Source organism: Homo sapiens, chromosome 11 (assembly GCF_000001405.40).
Source record: "Homo sapiens chromosome 11, GRCh38.p14 Primary Assembly".
Classification (NCBI taxonomy): domain Eukaryota; kingdom Metazoa; phylum Chordata; class Mammalia; order Primates; family Hominidae; genus Homo; species Homo sapiens.
In genome coordinates, this window is record NC_000011.10 from 13723384 (window position 1) to 13738934 (window position 15551).

General features: G+C 35.4%; 1 protein-coding gene across 10 annotated transcripts in view; it reads left to right on the forward strand.

Moving 5' to 3' along the window:
* Positions 1 to 8963, forward strand: part of FAR1 (fatty acyl-CoA reductase 1) — a 63679-nt gene extending 54716 nt beyond the window's left edge. For all 10 annotated transcript variants that reach the window (NM_001441242.1, NM_001441245.1, NM_032228.6 and 7 more), the window contains 2 exons: positions 4173 to 4300; positions 5229 to 8963. In NM_001441242.1, the coding sequence (NP_001428171.1) occupies positions 4173 to 4300; positions 5229 to 5391 (291 nt within the window). In that variant the 3' untranslated portion in view covers positions 5392 to 8963. The remainder of the gene's footprint in view (positions 1 to 4172; positions 4301 to 5228) is intronic.

Genomic DNA, 15551 nt, shown 5'->3' on the forward strand with positions numbered 1-15551 from the left:
CCCCAAAAAAAAACTTTTTTATTTATATTCTGTCTTACATTTTTGCTGTTGAAAAGTCGGTAGTTGGCTCTTCCTTTATAGGTGATATGTTATTCCTGGCTCGTCTTCCATTTTCTCTTTATGTTTGCCGCTTGGCAGTATCACTATGATAGTGGGTGTAATTTTGAAAAATTTACCTAGATTGCATTGGGCTTTCTGAATCTGAGGTTTGGTGTCTTTAAGCAATTCAGAGAAATACTTAGCCAGTGTTTCTTCAAATATTGCCTCTTCACTATTCTTATATCGTCTTCCAAAATTCCTAGTGTATGTTAGATTATTCTGTTCTCCAAATCTTTTAACGTTAATTTCATATTTTGTATCTCAGTGTTTCTGGGCTAAACTCTAGATAATTTAAGATTCTGTGACAGTCTGCCAGCTGTGTCTAAACTATCCAATTGAATTTAGAGTTTTATTGTTTTATTTTCAGTTTTAGAAAGTATAATTTTTCAGATCTTATAAATGTTTCTTAAACAGTCTCTAGAATTTTTTCTTGAAACATATTAAATATAATTGTTTTTCATTCTGCTTCTGATAATTTAAACTTGCAGATGATTTGCAGCATCTGATTCTGCCATCTATTACTTGAGCTAGGTCTCACCCATGGCACCTAATTTTTTTAAAAAATATTTGTTTGACTATAAATTTATATTCTTTGAGGATTTCTGTGAGAATTTTTTTGAAGCCGGGATTGAAATTGCAGTTTTCTGATAAGGATTTGCCTTTGCTTCTACCAGTAGCCTAGTTAATTAGCTAGCTGGCATTTATAAGCCAGGGCCCCTTTAAAATATCTGATTAGGTTTTTAGCACAACTCAGATTAATGTAGGCCTTAAATAGACAGTAGGGGCCGGGCGTGGTGGCTCACACCTGTAATCCCAGCACTTTGGGAGGCCAGTGCTGGGATAACTTGAGCTCAGGAGTTCGAGACCAGCCTGGGCAACAAAGTGAGACCCTCTCTCTACAGAAAAAAAAAAGAAAAATTAGCCAGGCGTGGTGGCGCATGCCTGTAGTCCCAACTACTTGGGAGGCTGAGGTGGGAGGATGGATTGAGCCTAGGAGGCAGAGGTTGCAGGGAGCCGAGATTGTGTCACTGCACTCCAGCCTGGGTGACAGAACGAGACTCCGCCTCAAAAAAAAAAAAAAAAAAAAGACTGTAGATTTGGGTCATTACAGTTTCTCAAGAGTTTCTTTTTTCATCCAGTGCCAGCTTCCTTTCTCTTCCCACTTACTTTTTTTATTTTCATAATGTTTTATTTAACCTAACATATAATCAAAAATATTGTTTGAACATATCAAAAACCTAAAAATTATTTAAAGGATATTACTTTCTGTTTTTTCATACTGAGCCTTCAAAACCCAGAGTGCATTTTATACTCCACTGCATGTCTCAGTTTGGACTAGCCATATTAAAAGTGCCCAAGAGGCACAGGTGGGTACAGAAACAGAAGCCTGTACTGCCTGCAGAACCATGAGCCAGTTAAACCTTTTTATCTTTACAAATTACCCATTCTCAGGTAGTTCTTTGTAGGGTTGCGAGAATGGACTAATGCACCTAATCACTACCTCCTCTGTCTTCCCAGAGGGAACAACTCTTGAATTCTAGCACTCAATATTAGTTTTACCTATTTTTGACTTTATATAAATGGTATTATACAGTATTTTTTCATTCTTCTGTTGATAGACATTTGAGTTATTTCCAGTTTCTGGCTATTAGGAATAATTATCCTATGAACATTCTTTATGTCTATATGTACACATTTGTGTAGGGTATATACCTAGAAATAGGATAGCATAGGGCATTCATATGTTCAGTTTAGCAGGTAATGGCAGTTTTCCAAAGTGGTTGTATCAGTTTACATTCCAGAGGGCAGTGTATGAGAGTTCCTGTTAATCCACATCCTCCATAACACTTGGCCTTTTAATTTTGATTTTCAATTTTAGCCACTTAGGTGATATATAGTGGTATAACAAAATGATTTTAGTATACATTACCTAGTACATAAAATGTTTATTTAAAAATAGTAAAAAAAAAAAAAAAAGTAATCCTATTGGAAAATAGATTAGAGAGATGAACAGTTTACAGAAAATGATTCCCAAGTATTTGAAAAGATACTCAGCTTTACTCAGTGGAAATGCAGACTAAAGTTAGACTGGGATATTATTTACTATTTATCAAATTTACAAAAATGCAGACTTGGACAATGTACTCTAGTGAGTTCCTGGACAAATCAGCATCCTTACACATTGCTGGTAGAACTATATGGTGTATGTTTCTCCATTCTTTTATTTTCAGTCATTTTGTATCTTATCTTTTAGATATGTCTTTTGTAAGCAGCATATAGTTAGTTGTAAGCAGCATATAGCTGTTAGTTTTTATTTTCAGTCTGACAATTTTTGACCTTTAATTGGAGAACTTAACCCCTATGTAATTCCTATCATTTTAGATTTAGTCTGACTAGTAGTGCTTTGTATTTGTCACTCTGGTTTTAAGTTCTTTTTTCTTTTTTTTTTGGCCGCCCTTTAGATTATGTTTTGAATAATTTAATATTTTCCCATCTATATGTGTTACATAGAATTATGTTCCTTTTTGGTTTAGTAGGTTACTCTAGAGATTACAATGTCCTTTAATTTAGCAAGGTCTAATATAAATTGATACTTTTATCCTTCTCTGATAGTGAAGGATCAGCATGTATCTGTTATTGTTGTTATTAGGTTGGTGCAAAAGTAATTGTGGTTTTGGCCATAATGCATGTTTTAATTCTATATATATATTAAGCCACACAAGCCAGTATTTTTATTGCAGCTTATGCAATAAATATTCATACAGATTTACCAGCGTAACTGTCCTTTTATTGCTCTTTATTTCTTCCTCCATCCCCAGACATAAATCTAGAATCATTCTCCTGCCTAAAGAATATCCTTAAGTTTACTTTCTCTAACATGGGTTTTCTGCTGATGTCAGATTGTCTCAGGTTTTATTCTCTGGAAATATCTTTATTTCACCTTTATTTTTCAAGGATATTTACACTGGCATAGAGTTTTATTTAGGACTTATTTTCATTGCGTACTTAGAAAACATCTCTGTCTTTTGGCTTTCATTGCTTCTGTTGAGAAGTCAACTTACAGTCTAATAGTTGTTCTTTTGGAGGTAATCTATAGGACCTTTTTCTGACTCTCATATGCCTAGATGTGTGTGGGGGCAGGGATGGGGGCAGTGGGAGTTGTATTTGTGTTTTGAATTGGTGACTTGGTTTCTTATTTTTGGAAAATTTCCAGGCATTGTCTTCTCAGATACTGCTTCTCTTCCTTTTTTTTTTTTTTAAATAACTGTTCTTATGGGATTCCCAATAACATACACATATACCTTCTCAAAATGTTTCCTAAGTCTTCATTTTAATGCAGAGTTACTGCATTTTTATATTTTACTGAATTTTTTATAGTAGCTTTCCCTTCCTAGAATTGGCTATTTTTAGATAAGTGATGGTATATACTGAATAATATCTTTGTAACTCCAAAAAATTATCTTATTATATGCTAAGGAGCACTGAGCAATGCATAGCCCTCTTACTTTGCCATAACATTTCTGAAGGCTTTCTTTTCTGGATTTACCTATCCTTCTCATCAAATAATCTAATTACTGTTATCCAAACTCCTTAGCCAGCTTTCATAACATATCTTGATGTCAGAGATGTTGTTTTCATAACGCATCTTGATGTCAGAAGTATTCTCCAGGAAAATTAGTCTGTTCAGTAGGCATGAACTGGAAATGTATCAGTACGTGCATAAAGTAGTGAGGAATACATAGATCTATGTGGACAATATAATTTTGTCTTTTTTTTTCTTTGTTTAGCAAAATGGTACAGGCTTTTTTCTTCTTATATTTAACCTACTTCTCTTTAAATGCTGACATTAGTTTCCAGATTATCTTCTCAAATGTTTCCATGTTTAATGGATGGTATGAACTAGGAATACAAACTTTTCAGTGACTAGCGGTAAGATTTCAGAAGTTAATTCTGTATTTAAGAATTTTGTAATTATGTCACTTGGAACTGGCCTTTAGAAAAAGTGTGAATTTCTGACTGGTTGTGAGAAAAATTAGTCAAGAAAATAATCAGTAATTTTTTTGTTAACGTAGACCTTCAATATTGATGTACGGCAGTTACATTGGGCAGAATATATAGAGAACTACTGCTTGGGAACTAAGAAGTACGTATTGAATGAAGAAATGTCTGGCCTCCCTGCAGCCAGAAAACATCTGAACAAGTGAGTTTGATGCATGGATTTGATTGCTTCTTGTCTTCCTTATGAAATATTCCACAATTTTTTTGGTAAACTGGTATATTTGCTATATCTGTCATTCAAAGATGCAGATAATTTTTAATGGTAATCTCTTATATTTGTAGTGCTTTTTAATGTGATTTTTATGACACTTTTTAAGACTTTCACATTATTATCCCTCTCATGCCTCATAACTCTGTGCGACTTTGCAGGGCAGCCAGTTCTATAGATGAGGAAATTGAGGCTTAGGAAAGTTATATTTGCCTAAGCCATATTGTATTGAGTGGCAAAGCAAACTAGAATATTGATCTTTGACTCCATATTCGAACCTCTTTTCTCTACATCATTTTTCTTACATTGCCGTCCTATCTTGCACTGCCTGCTGAGGTCAGTATAATTTATGTAACATTATTACATCTCTAAAGGTTTGTATTTCTTTCAAACACCATCAGAAACATCAAAATTTTTTGAAACATGAGCTGAAACATGAGAGTAACATATTGTTACTCTTTGAGAAAAGGGAGGATCCTCCTTTATCAAGTTAATGCCATGTTTTATGCTTGGATAAGGGCTTATCCACTTGGCCTTTGATCTTGTGACTGTCACCTGTAACTGAAAGAGTAAGTTACTTGTCTGACAACTTGTAAGCAACTAAAGATGTCAAAAAAAAAGTTTGCTCTATTTTGTCTGTACTGTGATGTATGTAATGAATGAACCTTTTTAGATTAGATGGGAAGCTCTAGAAATTCAAGGTACATATCTGTTTTACCTACAGTATACTTAATGCCTATCATAAGTTTCAAATTAATATGGATTTGAGCTTTGATTAAAAACTCAGTATTAATTAGCTGCCATCTAACAATATTTTTTTCTAGAAAATACTGTCTAACATATCTCTTGATTTGCTTTCCAGGTTGCGGAATATACGTTATGGTTTTAATACTATCCTTGTGATCCTCATCTGGCGCATTTTTATTGCAAGATCACAAATGGCAAGAAATATCTGGTACTTTGTGGTTAGTCTGTGTTACAAGTTTTTGTCATACTTCCGAGCATCCAGCACTATGAGATACTGAAGACCAAGGATTCAGCATTAGAACATCTATACATATGGTGATCTAAATGTACAAAATGTAAAATGTATAAGTCATCTCACTTTTTGTCAAGACATTAAACCATCTTAGATCGGAGTGTGAAGTAAATTATGGTATATTTTATGTAACATTTTAATGTTTATGCTCATAAAACTTAGTGAACACACTGTGTTATGCCAGCTCAAATCTACAGTAGCCACCAAAACCATGACTTAATATTTTGAGCCCTAGAAGAAAGGGGTGTGCTGAGGACAAGAGTGGGGAAATAGGAACACTGACCAGTATAACTGTGCAATTCTGGAACATATTAATTAAAATAATATGCCTTAACATATAGTGAATTTCTAATTCTAATGTTCAGTGCAATGGAAGACATTTATTTGGACAGTAATACTAGCAAAGTTGGTAGATATTTGATTCTTCATTTTTTGTTTTTTTCATTAGTTGAAGTGGGTTTTAGTTTTGTTTAAAATTATAACCAGCGTATTTTCACATCATTCTGTAAGTTAAATGATATCAAACATGAAAGAGATGTTCTCATTTTTCTTTTTCTGATTAAACGTCTGATGCATATCATTTTTCTATAAGTAATCAGTTGCTTTTAAAATCAGAAGGCTATATTATTCTAATGACCCTATTCGATCTAAATGGGTTTGAGAATCCATATCAGCAACATACGTGTTTTTTGACAGAAAGTGAAAACAAATTCCGTAAAACTGTTAGTATCAAAAAGAATAGGAATACAGTTTTCTTTTCCACATTATGATCAAATAAAAATCTTGTGAGATTGTTTATGTTTTGAAGCAGGAGGATTTCTTGAGATTTGATGGAAGTGGGAGTTGGGAAGGATTCACCATACTTGTGTTCTCCTCCCTTTATAAATTTTATTCATAGGACTTTTAAAAGGCTTGTGCTATCTTTCCAGTGAAAACTGAAAGTGCATTATTATGGAAGAATGTATTTGCAGGTAGTAATAGCATTAAAAAATATACTCGTGTGTAAACACATACTAATTTTGACCTTGAAAGATGAATTCCTTCAAGAAAAATAAAATAATGCTTAAGATAATGTGTACGAAATTAAATAAAGGACTTTATTTACATACTACATAAGGTAGCAAACTGTTGAATGAGTTTGAAGGTATCACTTATTTTTTATGCATGTGATTTTAGCTTTAGAAAGAAATGCGTTATAGAAACAAGTAATAGCAAGAAAATTGATGTATATTTTAATGATACATTAAAATTCCCTTTTAATCATAATAGTTAACTCTACTTACTGTTTTAACATACATTTGATTTAACAAATTGTTCAGCATAACACTTCTAATTAAGTTTATCAAGTTGTACTGTATTAGATAATCAGCAGTGTATCTGGAGTATGTTTAAAGAGAACAGTTCGCAATACAAAAAGTTACATGGAGCTTTACATCTTAACTTTCTTTGTCAATTTAAATGCAATGTATAAAAAGTTTATTTTGCTATTGTGAAAAACTAAATGTAAAGGAAATCACCTACTTTCATGCAGGTGTATAATCTTGAAAAGGAAAAATGCTTCCATGTTGAAGCCAGATTTTCTGTAGTAAAACTTTTAAATATTATTTTAAAAGAAATATGTATATAAATATCTCTATATTCTTTGGAATGATACTAAAGTCTCTGGTCTAGGACCATACCTTATATAAAGGTATAAGAGACCATGACAATGTCTGAAAATGGAATAGATAATGATGCCTTTTATTTAAAGTGGCCCACATAATATACATTGAGTACTCCATCTCTCCAAATGTATTTCCATAATGTGTTGAAAACATGCTAACATTTGTATGATTTTTATACTTCTGCCGAATAGACTTAGAATCAGATGAATTGTCTGTGTGTCTTGCAAAAGAGTTGGGGACAACTTGGGCAGGCCTATGAAGTGCATAGGGAGTGTATGTCTTCTGAATGGTTTTATTGTTCTTGTAATCTAGCTTAAAGAAATGTTAACTGGGAGGGTGCTGAGGCCACTCACTGCATTAATTTTGTGTGTTTAGAGTTCTGTTGTCAAAAGAAAACTAATGAATAAATTAGTTTGTCATTCTAGAATTTAAAGTTCTAAGATTAGTATAAAGAGTATATAGATTGTTAATCCCCACCAGCTAGACTTTGAACTTAAGTCAGACTTAAAGATTTGAGAAATTATTTGTGTCATTTACTAGACGTGATTTTTAGTTCTGTTTGATTATATTTCCTACACAAACTTCTTATTTAACAGGATAGCCTACTAAATTAAATGTTTCTTATTTCACTTAACTCATTTGATTAAACTGTATTCTAAAACATTTGGGGTTTTTCCCCCTATTCAGTTTTAATCTTGGAATATGCATTTGTAAATTGTGATGTCATTGAGACTATATTTATATTTGACTTGGCAACATTAACATGTCCTAAGACTTAGTGCAGAGAAGCTTGGCAGTACGTTCTTTGACTTAAGGATGGCATAAAATAATCATTTTTGAACCTGTGTAATAAAGCTTGAAAGCAGGGAAAAGAATTTCCTTTTCCCCCTTTTTTGTGTTGTCTATAGGAATTAACTTGGGATTGTTTTGTGGGTTTTTGTTTGTTTTAAATGTAAATTGAGAATCTTTTATAAGAAATAAAAGCATTATTGGGTGCCTTTGTTTGTAAACCAAAAAGTAATAAATGAATCCCTATATTTCCATTATAGTATTTATTGTATTTTTATGTTCTGAAAATTACCCATGGAACAATATGCTTAGGATTACAGGAAGCAGTCCTTACTTACACTTCTTGTCTGTTTTAGGTGTACTTGTTAATTCTTATGTCCTAATTTTATTTAATTCTGAGTTCCTTACACAGCATTTTAGGGAAAGAATACAGGCAGGATGACACTTTGTGTTAAAGTGTTATTTTTATGTATTACCTGGAATGAGGCAGGTTTTTTTCTGTTTTCTAAAAAGAGTAACCAAGATACCTCCAGGGTGTCATTGGGTTCCAGCTGCTCTCCTCCACATTGAATGATATCTTGTTAATTTATAGGCACATTTGTGGTAATTTATATGTCTATAGAGTAAGTATAAGAGATAATTCATTAGTAATAGGAATTAACTGACCCCTTTTGGATGGGGGAGAGCATCAGGCTGGGGTCAGGTAAGTGTAAATGGCCTTCTGAGCATGCTCTTCTAGGCTGACTCCCAGCCCTGACTTGAAACCATTAGCGCTAACTTGCTCTGTTTTGAGAAAAACTTTCCAAACTTTTGCATGAGAAACTAGAAAAAGGAATGTATGCCACGTAACTGGATTACAGAAATGAGTTAATTGTCTCTGTGATAAAAAAAAAAAATGAAATATTTTCTTATTGAATTAATATTTTTGTCTTGAAGCATTTTCTAGTGATAGAATGTATTTGTCTTTTTTCCTGGTGGTACCCTCTTAGCATATATCTTTGCTATCCTTAAGATCCTAAACAAATCATCTTTGTCAGTTAAGTATAGTTGCGCAAAAATTGTTAAATCCTTTGTCTTTATTAAAGAAAAATTTGAGTAACATTAAGTTTGATGTGCTCCTTTGCAAGTTGATGTCTCTAAAATTCATTTATTTAGAAAAACATGAAGTGGTAAGTATAAGTTTAATGTCTTTACCGTGGGCCTGAACTCAGAGAAATAAGGATATAATTGTTTTTTGGCCTGAGATCACAGATGATAGCTATGATACCTGTAATTTTATACAAGGGGGAAGGGAGACAATCAAGATTTTTCTGAATTCATTTGTTTAAAACAAAGTTAACATTCCTAGTTATTGTCTTCAAAATACTTTTCTCCTCTAGACATTTAATTTTCATTTTTAAAGTTCCATGAAGTTGAATTAGGTGTCTTCCAAAGATGCTTTGGAGGCAGAATTCCTTTATTTTCTGCTGTTGTACAGTAAATTCTTTCTCTCTCATATAAATCTAGAGAGCTTCCTTTCACTTGTTTTGAGCAAGGTGTAACTAGAAAGTGTTAGGTTGAGCCGTATAAAAATGCTAATATGTCTTTGACCTGTAAGAAATTTCATATGGCTCAGTCTAGTATTATAGCTGCCTTTTTTTCTTTTGTTTCTAACAAACACACCTGAACCTAAACAGATGGGTGTAGTTTTATTAAAGTAGTCATCCAGATTGTTTATCAGTATTTAGTTGTTTGACATTTAATACCTAACTTTCTGCTTTATGTCACATCTTTAACAGGTTCTTGTCATTTCCCCTAACTTCTGCCAAGTTGGTTGTTGGTTTCTTGAGAGTGAAACCAGCATTGCACATTTTATGTTATAAAAACAACACTAATAACATTTGTTAAGTTCTTACAATGTGCCAAGCACTACTATAAGCATTTTACATGTAATAACCCACTTATGCCCTCTGTGTTTGTAAGTGTGATAACTAAGGTGTATGATGTTAATAAAGTACCCCAGGTTACACTGCTAGTAGCAGAGCCGAGACTTGAACTCAGACTAGTTCCAAAGCCCACTCTCCAGTCCATTATACTGTACTGTCTTTCACCATAGGAATACAGATATTTCTGGACTATTCAGAGGTTACCTGACTTGTACTAAATGTCTTTGCTGACTTCATTTCAAAAACCCAGCATTCATCCATTCAACAAATTTTGAGTGCCTGTTATGATTTAGGCACTGTGTCTTATATTGCAATTATTGCAATTATCTATCACATACCAAACTAACCTGCTCAGTGGCCCAGTCCTGAATATGACACACTGCCTTCCCTTAGGATTTTGTGATTTGATATAGATAAATAAGCAGATAATTTTAATATGTAATGACAGGTAAGAACAAAATACTAAGGGCACAGAGCGATTTCTTGCTTATTTCGAGAAAGCTCATACAAACTACTTTTGAATTATGGTTTTATGTCAGATTGGTGGGATGCTCGGGTAGGGAAGCATCCAGGTTTCAGGAAGAGCATTTGCAAAGGCTGGGAGGTATAAGGAACCGAGAGGAAATGTTTTGGTGCTAAAGGAGAGGATGGCTAAAGAAAGATGAGGCTGTAGAGATTGCTGGGCCATCTGAGGGCCTTCAGACGCTCAGAATGCACTATAGGCTGTGGAATGGCTATTGCAAAAACACTAAGAAGGTTTTCCTAGCCAAAGCACATCTGTTACTGGAAAAGGGGTCCCAATCCAGACCCCAAGAGAGGGTTCTTGAATCTCGTACAAGAAAGAATTCTTGGTGAATCCATAAAGTGAAAGCAAGTTTATTAGGAATGAAGAATGGCTACTCCATAGGTAGAGCAGCCCCAAGGGCTGCTGATTGCCCATTTTTATGGTTATTTCTTGATTATATGCTAAACAAAGAATGGATTATCCATGCCTCCCCTTTTTAGACCATATAGGTTAACTTCCTGATTTTGCCATGGCATTCGTAAACTGTCATGGCCCTGGTGGGATTGTAGCAGTGAGGATGACCAGAGGTCACTCGCATCACCATCTTCGTTTTGGTAGGTTTTAGCTGACTTCTTTACTGCAACCAGTTTTATCAGCAAGGTCTTTATGTCCTGTATCTTGTTCTGACCTCCTATCTCATCCTGTGAGTTAGAATGCCTAATTTGGGAATGCAGCCCAGCAGGTCTCAGCCTTATTTTACCCAGTCCCTATTCAAGATGGAGTTGCTCTGGTTCAGATATCTCTGACATATCCAATTTCTCTTAAATATGAGTAGATTTTGTACTTTAAATGAACAGACTTTTAAATATATTTTCTAAATGAAAATTTAAGAGAAAAAAAATACTGGTATAGTGTCACTCGTTTTTTGAGAATACAGACCATATCAGTGTTTAAACAACCAGTCTCTGTTTTTCAGTTTTCTATGATTCTCAAAGTGCAATCCCCAGACCAGAGGAGTCAGCATGGGCATCACATGGGAATTCATTGGAAATGCAAATTTCGGACCCCACCCCAGATCTATTGAGTCAGAAACTGGGGTGGAGCTCAGCAATCTATTTTAACAAGTCCTCCAGGTATTTCTGATGCACACTAAGATTGGAGAACCACTGGTCTAAGAGTCAGTCTTCATGCCATACCAACACGATCTAAGTGGAATGCTTTTCTGGGGTTTTGGGACAGGGTCAAGTAAGCACCATTTAAAAATCAACGTTTAATGCCAGGCGAGGTGGCTCAAGCCTGTAATCCCATCACTTTGGGAGGCCGAGGTGGGCGGATCATGAGGTCAGGAGTTTGAGACCAGCCTGGCCAACATGTTGAAACCCCATCTCTACTAAAAATACAAAAATAACCAGGTATAGCGGCGCACACCTGTAATCCCAGCTACTTAGGAGGCTGAGGCAGGAGAATTGCTTGAATCCAGGAGGCAGAGGTTGCAGTGAGCTGAGACAGCACAACTGCACTTTAGCCTGGGTGACAGAGCGAGACTCCATCTCAAAAAAAAAAAAAAAAATACAAAACGTGTGTACATAGAAAAAGGTCAACTGGCAAGAATAAGGCCAAAATATTAAAGAAGTTAGCGCTATATGGTGGTTATGAGCCCCTTGTTCTTTTAGTTTTCTGCAGTGACCCTGAATGATTTTTTAACCAAAGCAAAGTTTTTATTTTAAAGTAATGTAAGGATGAGTATGCTTGGATCTAGAAAAATAACAAAAGTGTAAAAAATGTCTTATCTCCAATAAAAGGTGAGGGTTCATTCATTCTGAATTTTTAGCTTGAGACAATTTTTCTTGTGAGTCGGGAACAACAATTTACTAGGCTGCTATGTCCCTTGAAATTGTCCAGGTTTTTTTTGTTGTGTGTTTGGTGGACTTGGTAAATACTTCCACCCTTACCAGTTTCTAACTTGGTCTTTCTCTGATGACCTTGCCAACCCCCGAATATACATCCTGTCCATATAATAAGTAATCACTCCTCCAGCTAGCTTAGTTTTCCTTTGTGATTCCCATTATAATGCTATGTTGGCATTCTCATTTATAAATCAAGTAACTGAGTTTATAGAGAATCAGCTCTCACAGAGACTGCTCAACTCATAGTAGACTGAGAAGGTATTTCTGGCCCTTAAAGCTGAGTTCTAGAGCCTGTGCTATGGGAACGTCTAACTACCATAGCATGGTACCAACAGTTGAAAGTATTGCTAATTTTCAAATGTCTTATTAGAAGAAATCTGAAATAATCAAGATTCTTTTGCCTTAACCTCTATGAAAACGGCCTAACCTACCCCATTACATTAAAAACACCAATTTACATTTTTTTCCTCTATTTGATGTATGAGCATTCTTACAGGGCAGGGCCTATTTTTTAAGGTACCTGGCACACAGAAGTTACTCAATGAATATTTCGTCTTAACTGTAGAATGAAGTTTGTCCTTCCTTCCATCAGTCACAGGATTCTTAAGCTTCCTGCTTATATATAAGATTTTGCAATCAACACTTTGCCAAGAAGGGTATAAAAGTTAACACCACTAACTCTTTTGTTGTTGGTCACCTAGAGATGTTAACGCAACATGTAATGCAAATACCCCATGTTAGAAACTCCACAGTTGACAAACTTTACTGTCTTTTATTCAATAAGCATTGATTAGCTGTTTGTGGTCCATTAATGTAAAATCATGCTAAGTGCTCTTTTCTAAATTGTTAACATCATAATCAAAGTACTAACAGATGCCTTTATACCTCCAGGATTTTTCTTTGAAGACATTTTTCCAAAGAGATCTAGTTGTCTAGATTGAGGGGCAACTTAATTTCTGGTTTATGGGTAGGTTTGATGACTCCGCTGAGCTCAGTAGTGCTGAAGTGGTTAGGAGGGTGGGCTGTGCATGTGACACCTGACAGAACACAGTAGATGGAACACTGCCCTGCCTATATCATCTGCCTTCTGCAATATGCCAGAATGCATCTTATAGACCTGCATTGATTTTTTTATTTTTCCCCCATCTGGTACAAGAGACAGTATGCAGTGCACTGTAAGAACTGCCTACCTTGCTCTGAGATTCACCAGACTTCAAGCCTTAGTTCCCTCAGTATTCAATATTGTTCTAACTCATACCGCATTATAAACACCCTTCTGCCTCTCATGAATTGTCAGATATACTTCACCTGCAAGTACATTGTATATATCCATACTCTGTTAGTTTTACTAGACCACTAGATTCTGGGTTATCACAGAGTAAATGGATAGTTCTTAAGTAAATGTCAGTACTTGGGTCCTCGACTACTCAGAAATCCTCCTTGGCACTAGGTAGACAGTAGTATCAAAAACACACAAAAACCATCCTGTAGGAGGAAAATGGAAGAGCCCGTTAGAGCAGAAAGGAAATCTTTTTTTCACTTAGTGGAGAAAAATGCAAGGGGAAAATGTTGACTTTTAGGCATTCTAAAACTCCAGTTCACAGGCTTTTTTACAAAGCCTGAGTATATTGTATAAACCTAGCTTCATCTCTTTGAAAACCACTTATACTTGTTTGCCTACCCTGGTCTCATTTGCTATTCTTCTTTTTGTCACATAGTTCCTTGACTGATCCTGTCTGCTCGTGCCTTCCCCATCTCCCATTTGAAAGCTCCCTTGCCAGCTGTAATGAGCCTCCCAGGATCAGCTGGCATTCTTCTTCCAGGGGACTGGGCTCCTATAAGGTCCACATACAAGAAGAATGACACTTTTGGAAATAACCAAGCAGTTAAAGATTAGTGTTGAAAGGGATTCTTAAAAAGCATTGAATATTGCTAACTTGCTTTACCCTTGAAGAGTCAGTGGTAAAATTGGAGTCAGTATATATATATTATATATAATGTTAATATATATATCCTATTCCTTTTATGTCACATAACTCAGCAAAAAAAAGTGCTGTCAGAGAATATTGGTTTGTGGGGGGAGACCTTTTCTGAAACCTAATAGTTTTTAAAAAGCAGAAAAGGTTTGTCAAACATTATGCTTATTTAATTCTTCTTTAATTCAGATGATTTCTCTGAGCTCACACTCTTCACATTATTGCTAGGGTTCTTGAAGAATCAGATCGTAAGTTTATAAAGCCCCAAACTGAAAATGCCATCTCATTGGATGATACCAATCACTTTGCAATCCACAAGCTCAGAGTTCATTCTAGCTAACCCCCAAACCAGGATCTGGCCAGGTCAAAATTACTGGCTAACTTTTTAAACATAGAGTTTCCCTGGACTGACCCCTGGAGTTAGTTTCTTTCTTTCTTTCTTCTTTCTTTCTTTCTTTCCTTTCTTTCCTTTCTTTCTTTCTTTTTCTTTTTTTTGAAACAGAGTCTCACTCTATCGCCCAGACTGGAGGGCAGTGGCACGATCTCAGCTCACTGCAACCTCTGCCTCCTGGGTTCAAGCAATTCTCCTGCCTCCGCCTCCCAAGTAGCTGAGACTGCAGGCTAGCACCCCTGCACCTAGCTAATTGTATTTTTTCTAGAGATGGGGTTTCACCACTTTGACCATGATGGTCTCCAATGCCTGACCTCAAGTGATCCACCCACCTTGGCCTCCCAAAGTGCTGGGATTACAGGTGTGAGCCACCATGCCCGGCCTGACCCCTAGAGTTTGTGATTAGAGAAAAGCCCAGGGATCTGAATTTTAAAATTCTCTCCCAGTGACTCTGATGATCCAGATTTGATTGTCTCTGCCCTAAGCCAGTGGTATGCAGCAGGATCATCTGAAGAGCTCCATATACATAGAGGTGTCTAGGAGCCATGTATCCCAGACAACTGGGACGCAGACTAGACATTTATAATAATCCTTGTGGGTGATTTGACATACTTAGGGTATTTAAGAGCCACCCAAACCTTTTCAAGAAATGTTTTGCCACTCTTGGGAAAAAAATTTCAGCATTTTTTCCAAATAAGACAAAAGTAGATGACAACAGTATACACAATTTCAGTTCTTTAGCATTTTTTCAGCAAATTCCACTGCCATTTTAGTATAAACATTCTGCTGTTTTTGTAAATAAATATACCTTATCTGCATCTCTAACATACTATTCCATAGTAACTCCAGAGCAGAAGTACCTGGTCACTTCTAAAATTTAAAAAATAATATAATAATATAATACCAGCCTGGGAAATATAGTGAGACTCTGTCTCTACAAAAAAATAAAGAATTAGCCTGGCATGGTGGTATGTGCCTGTTGTCCCAGT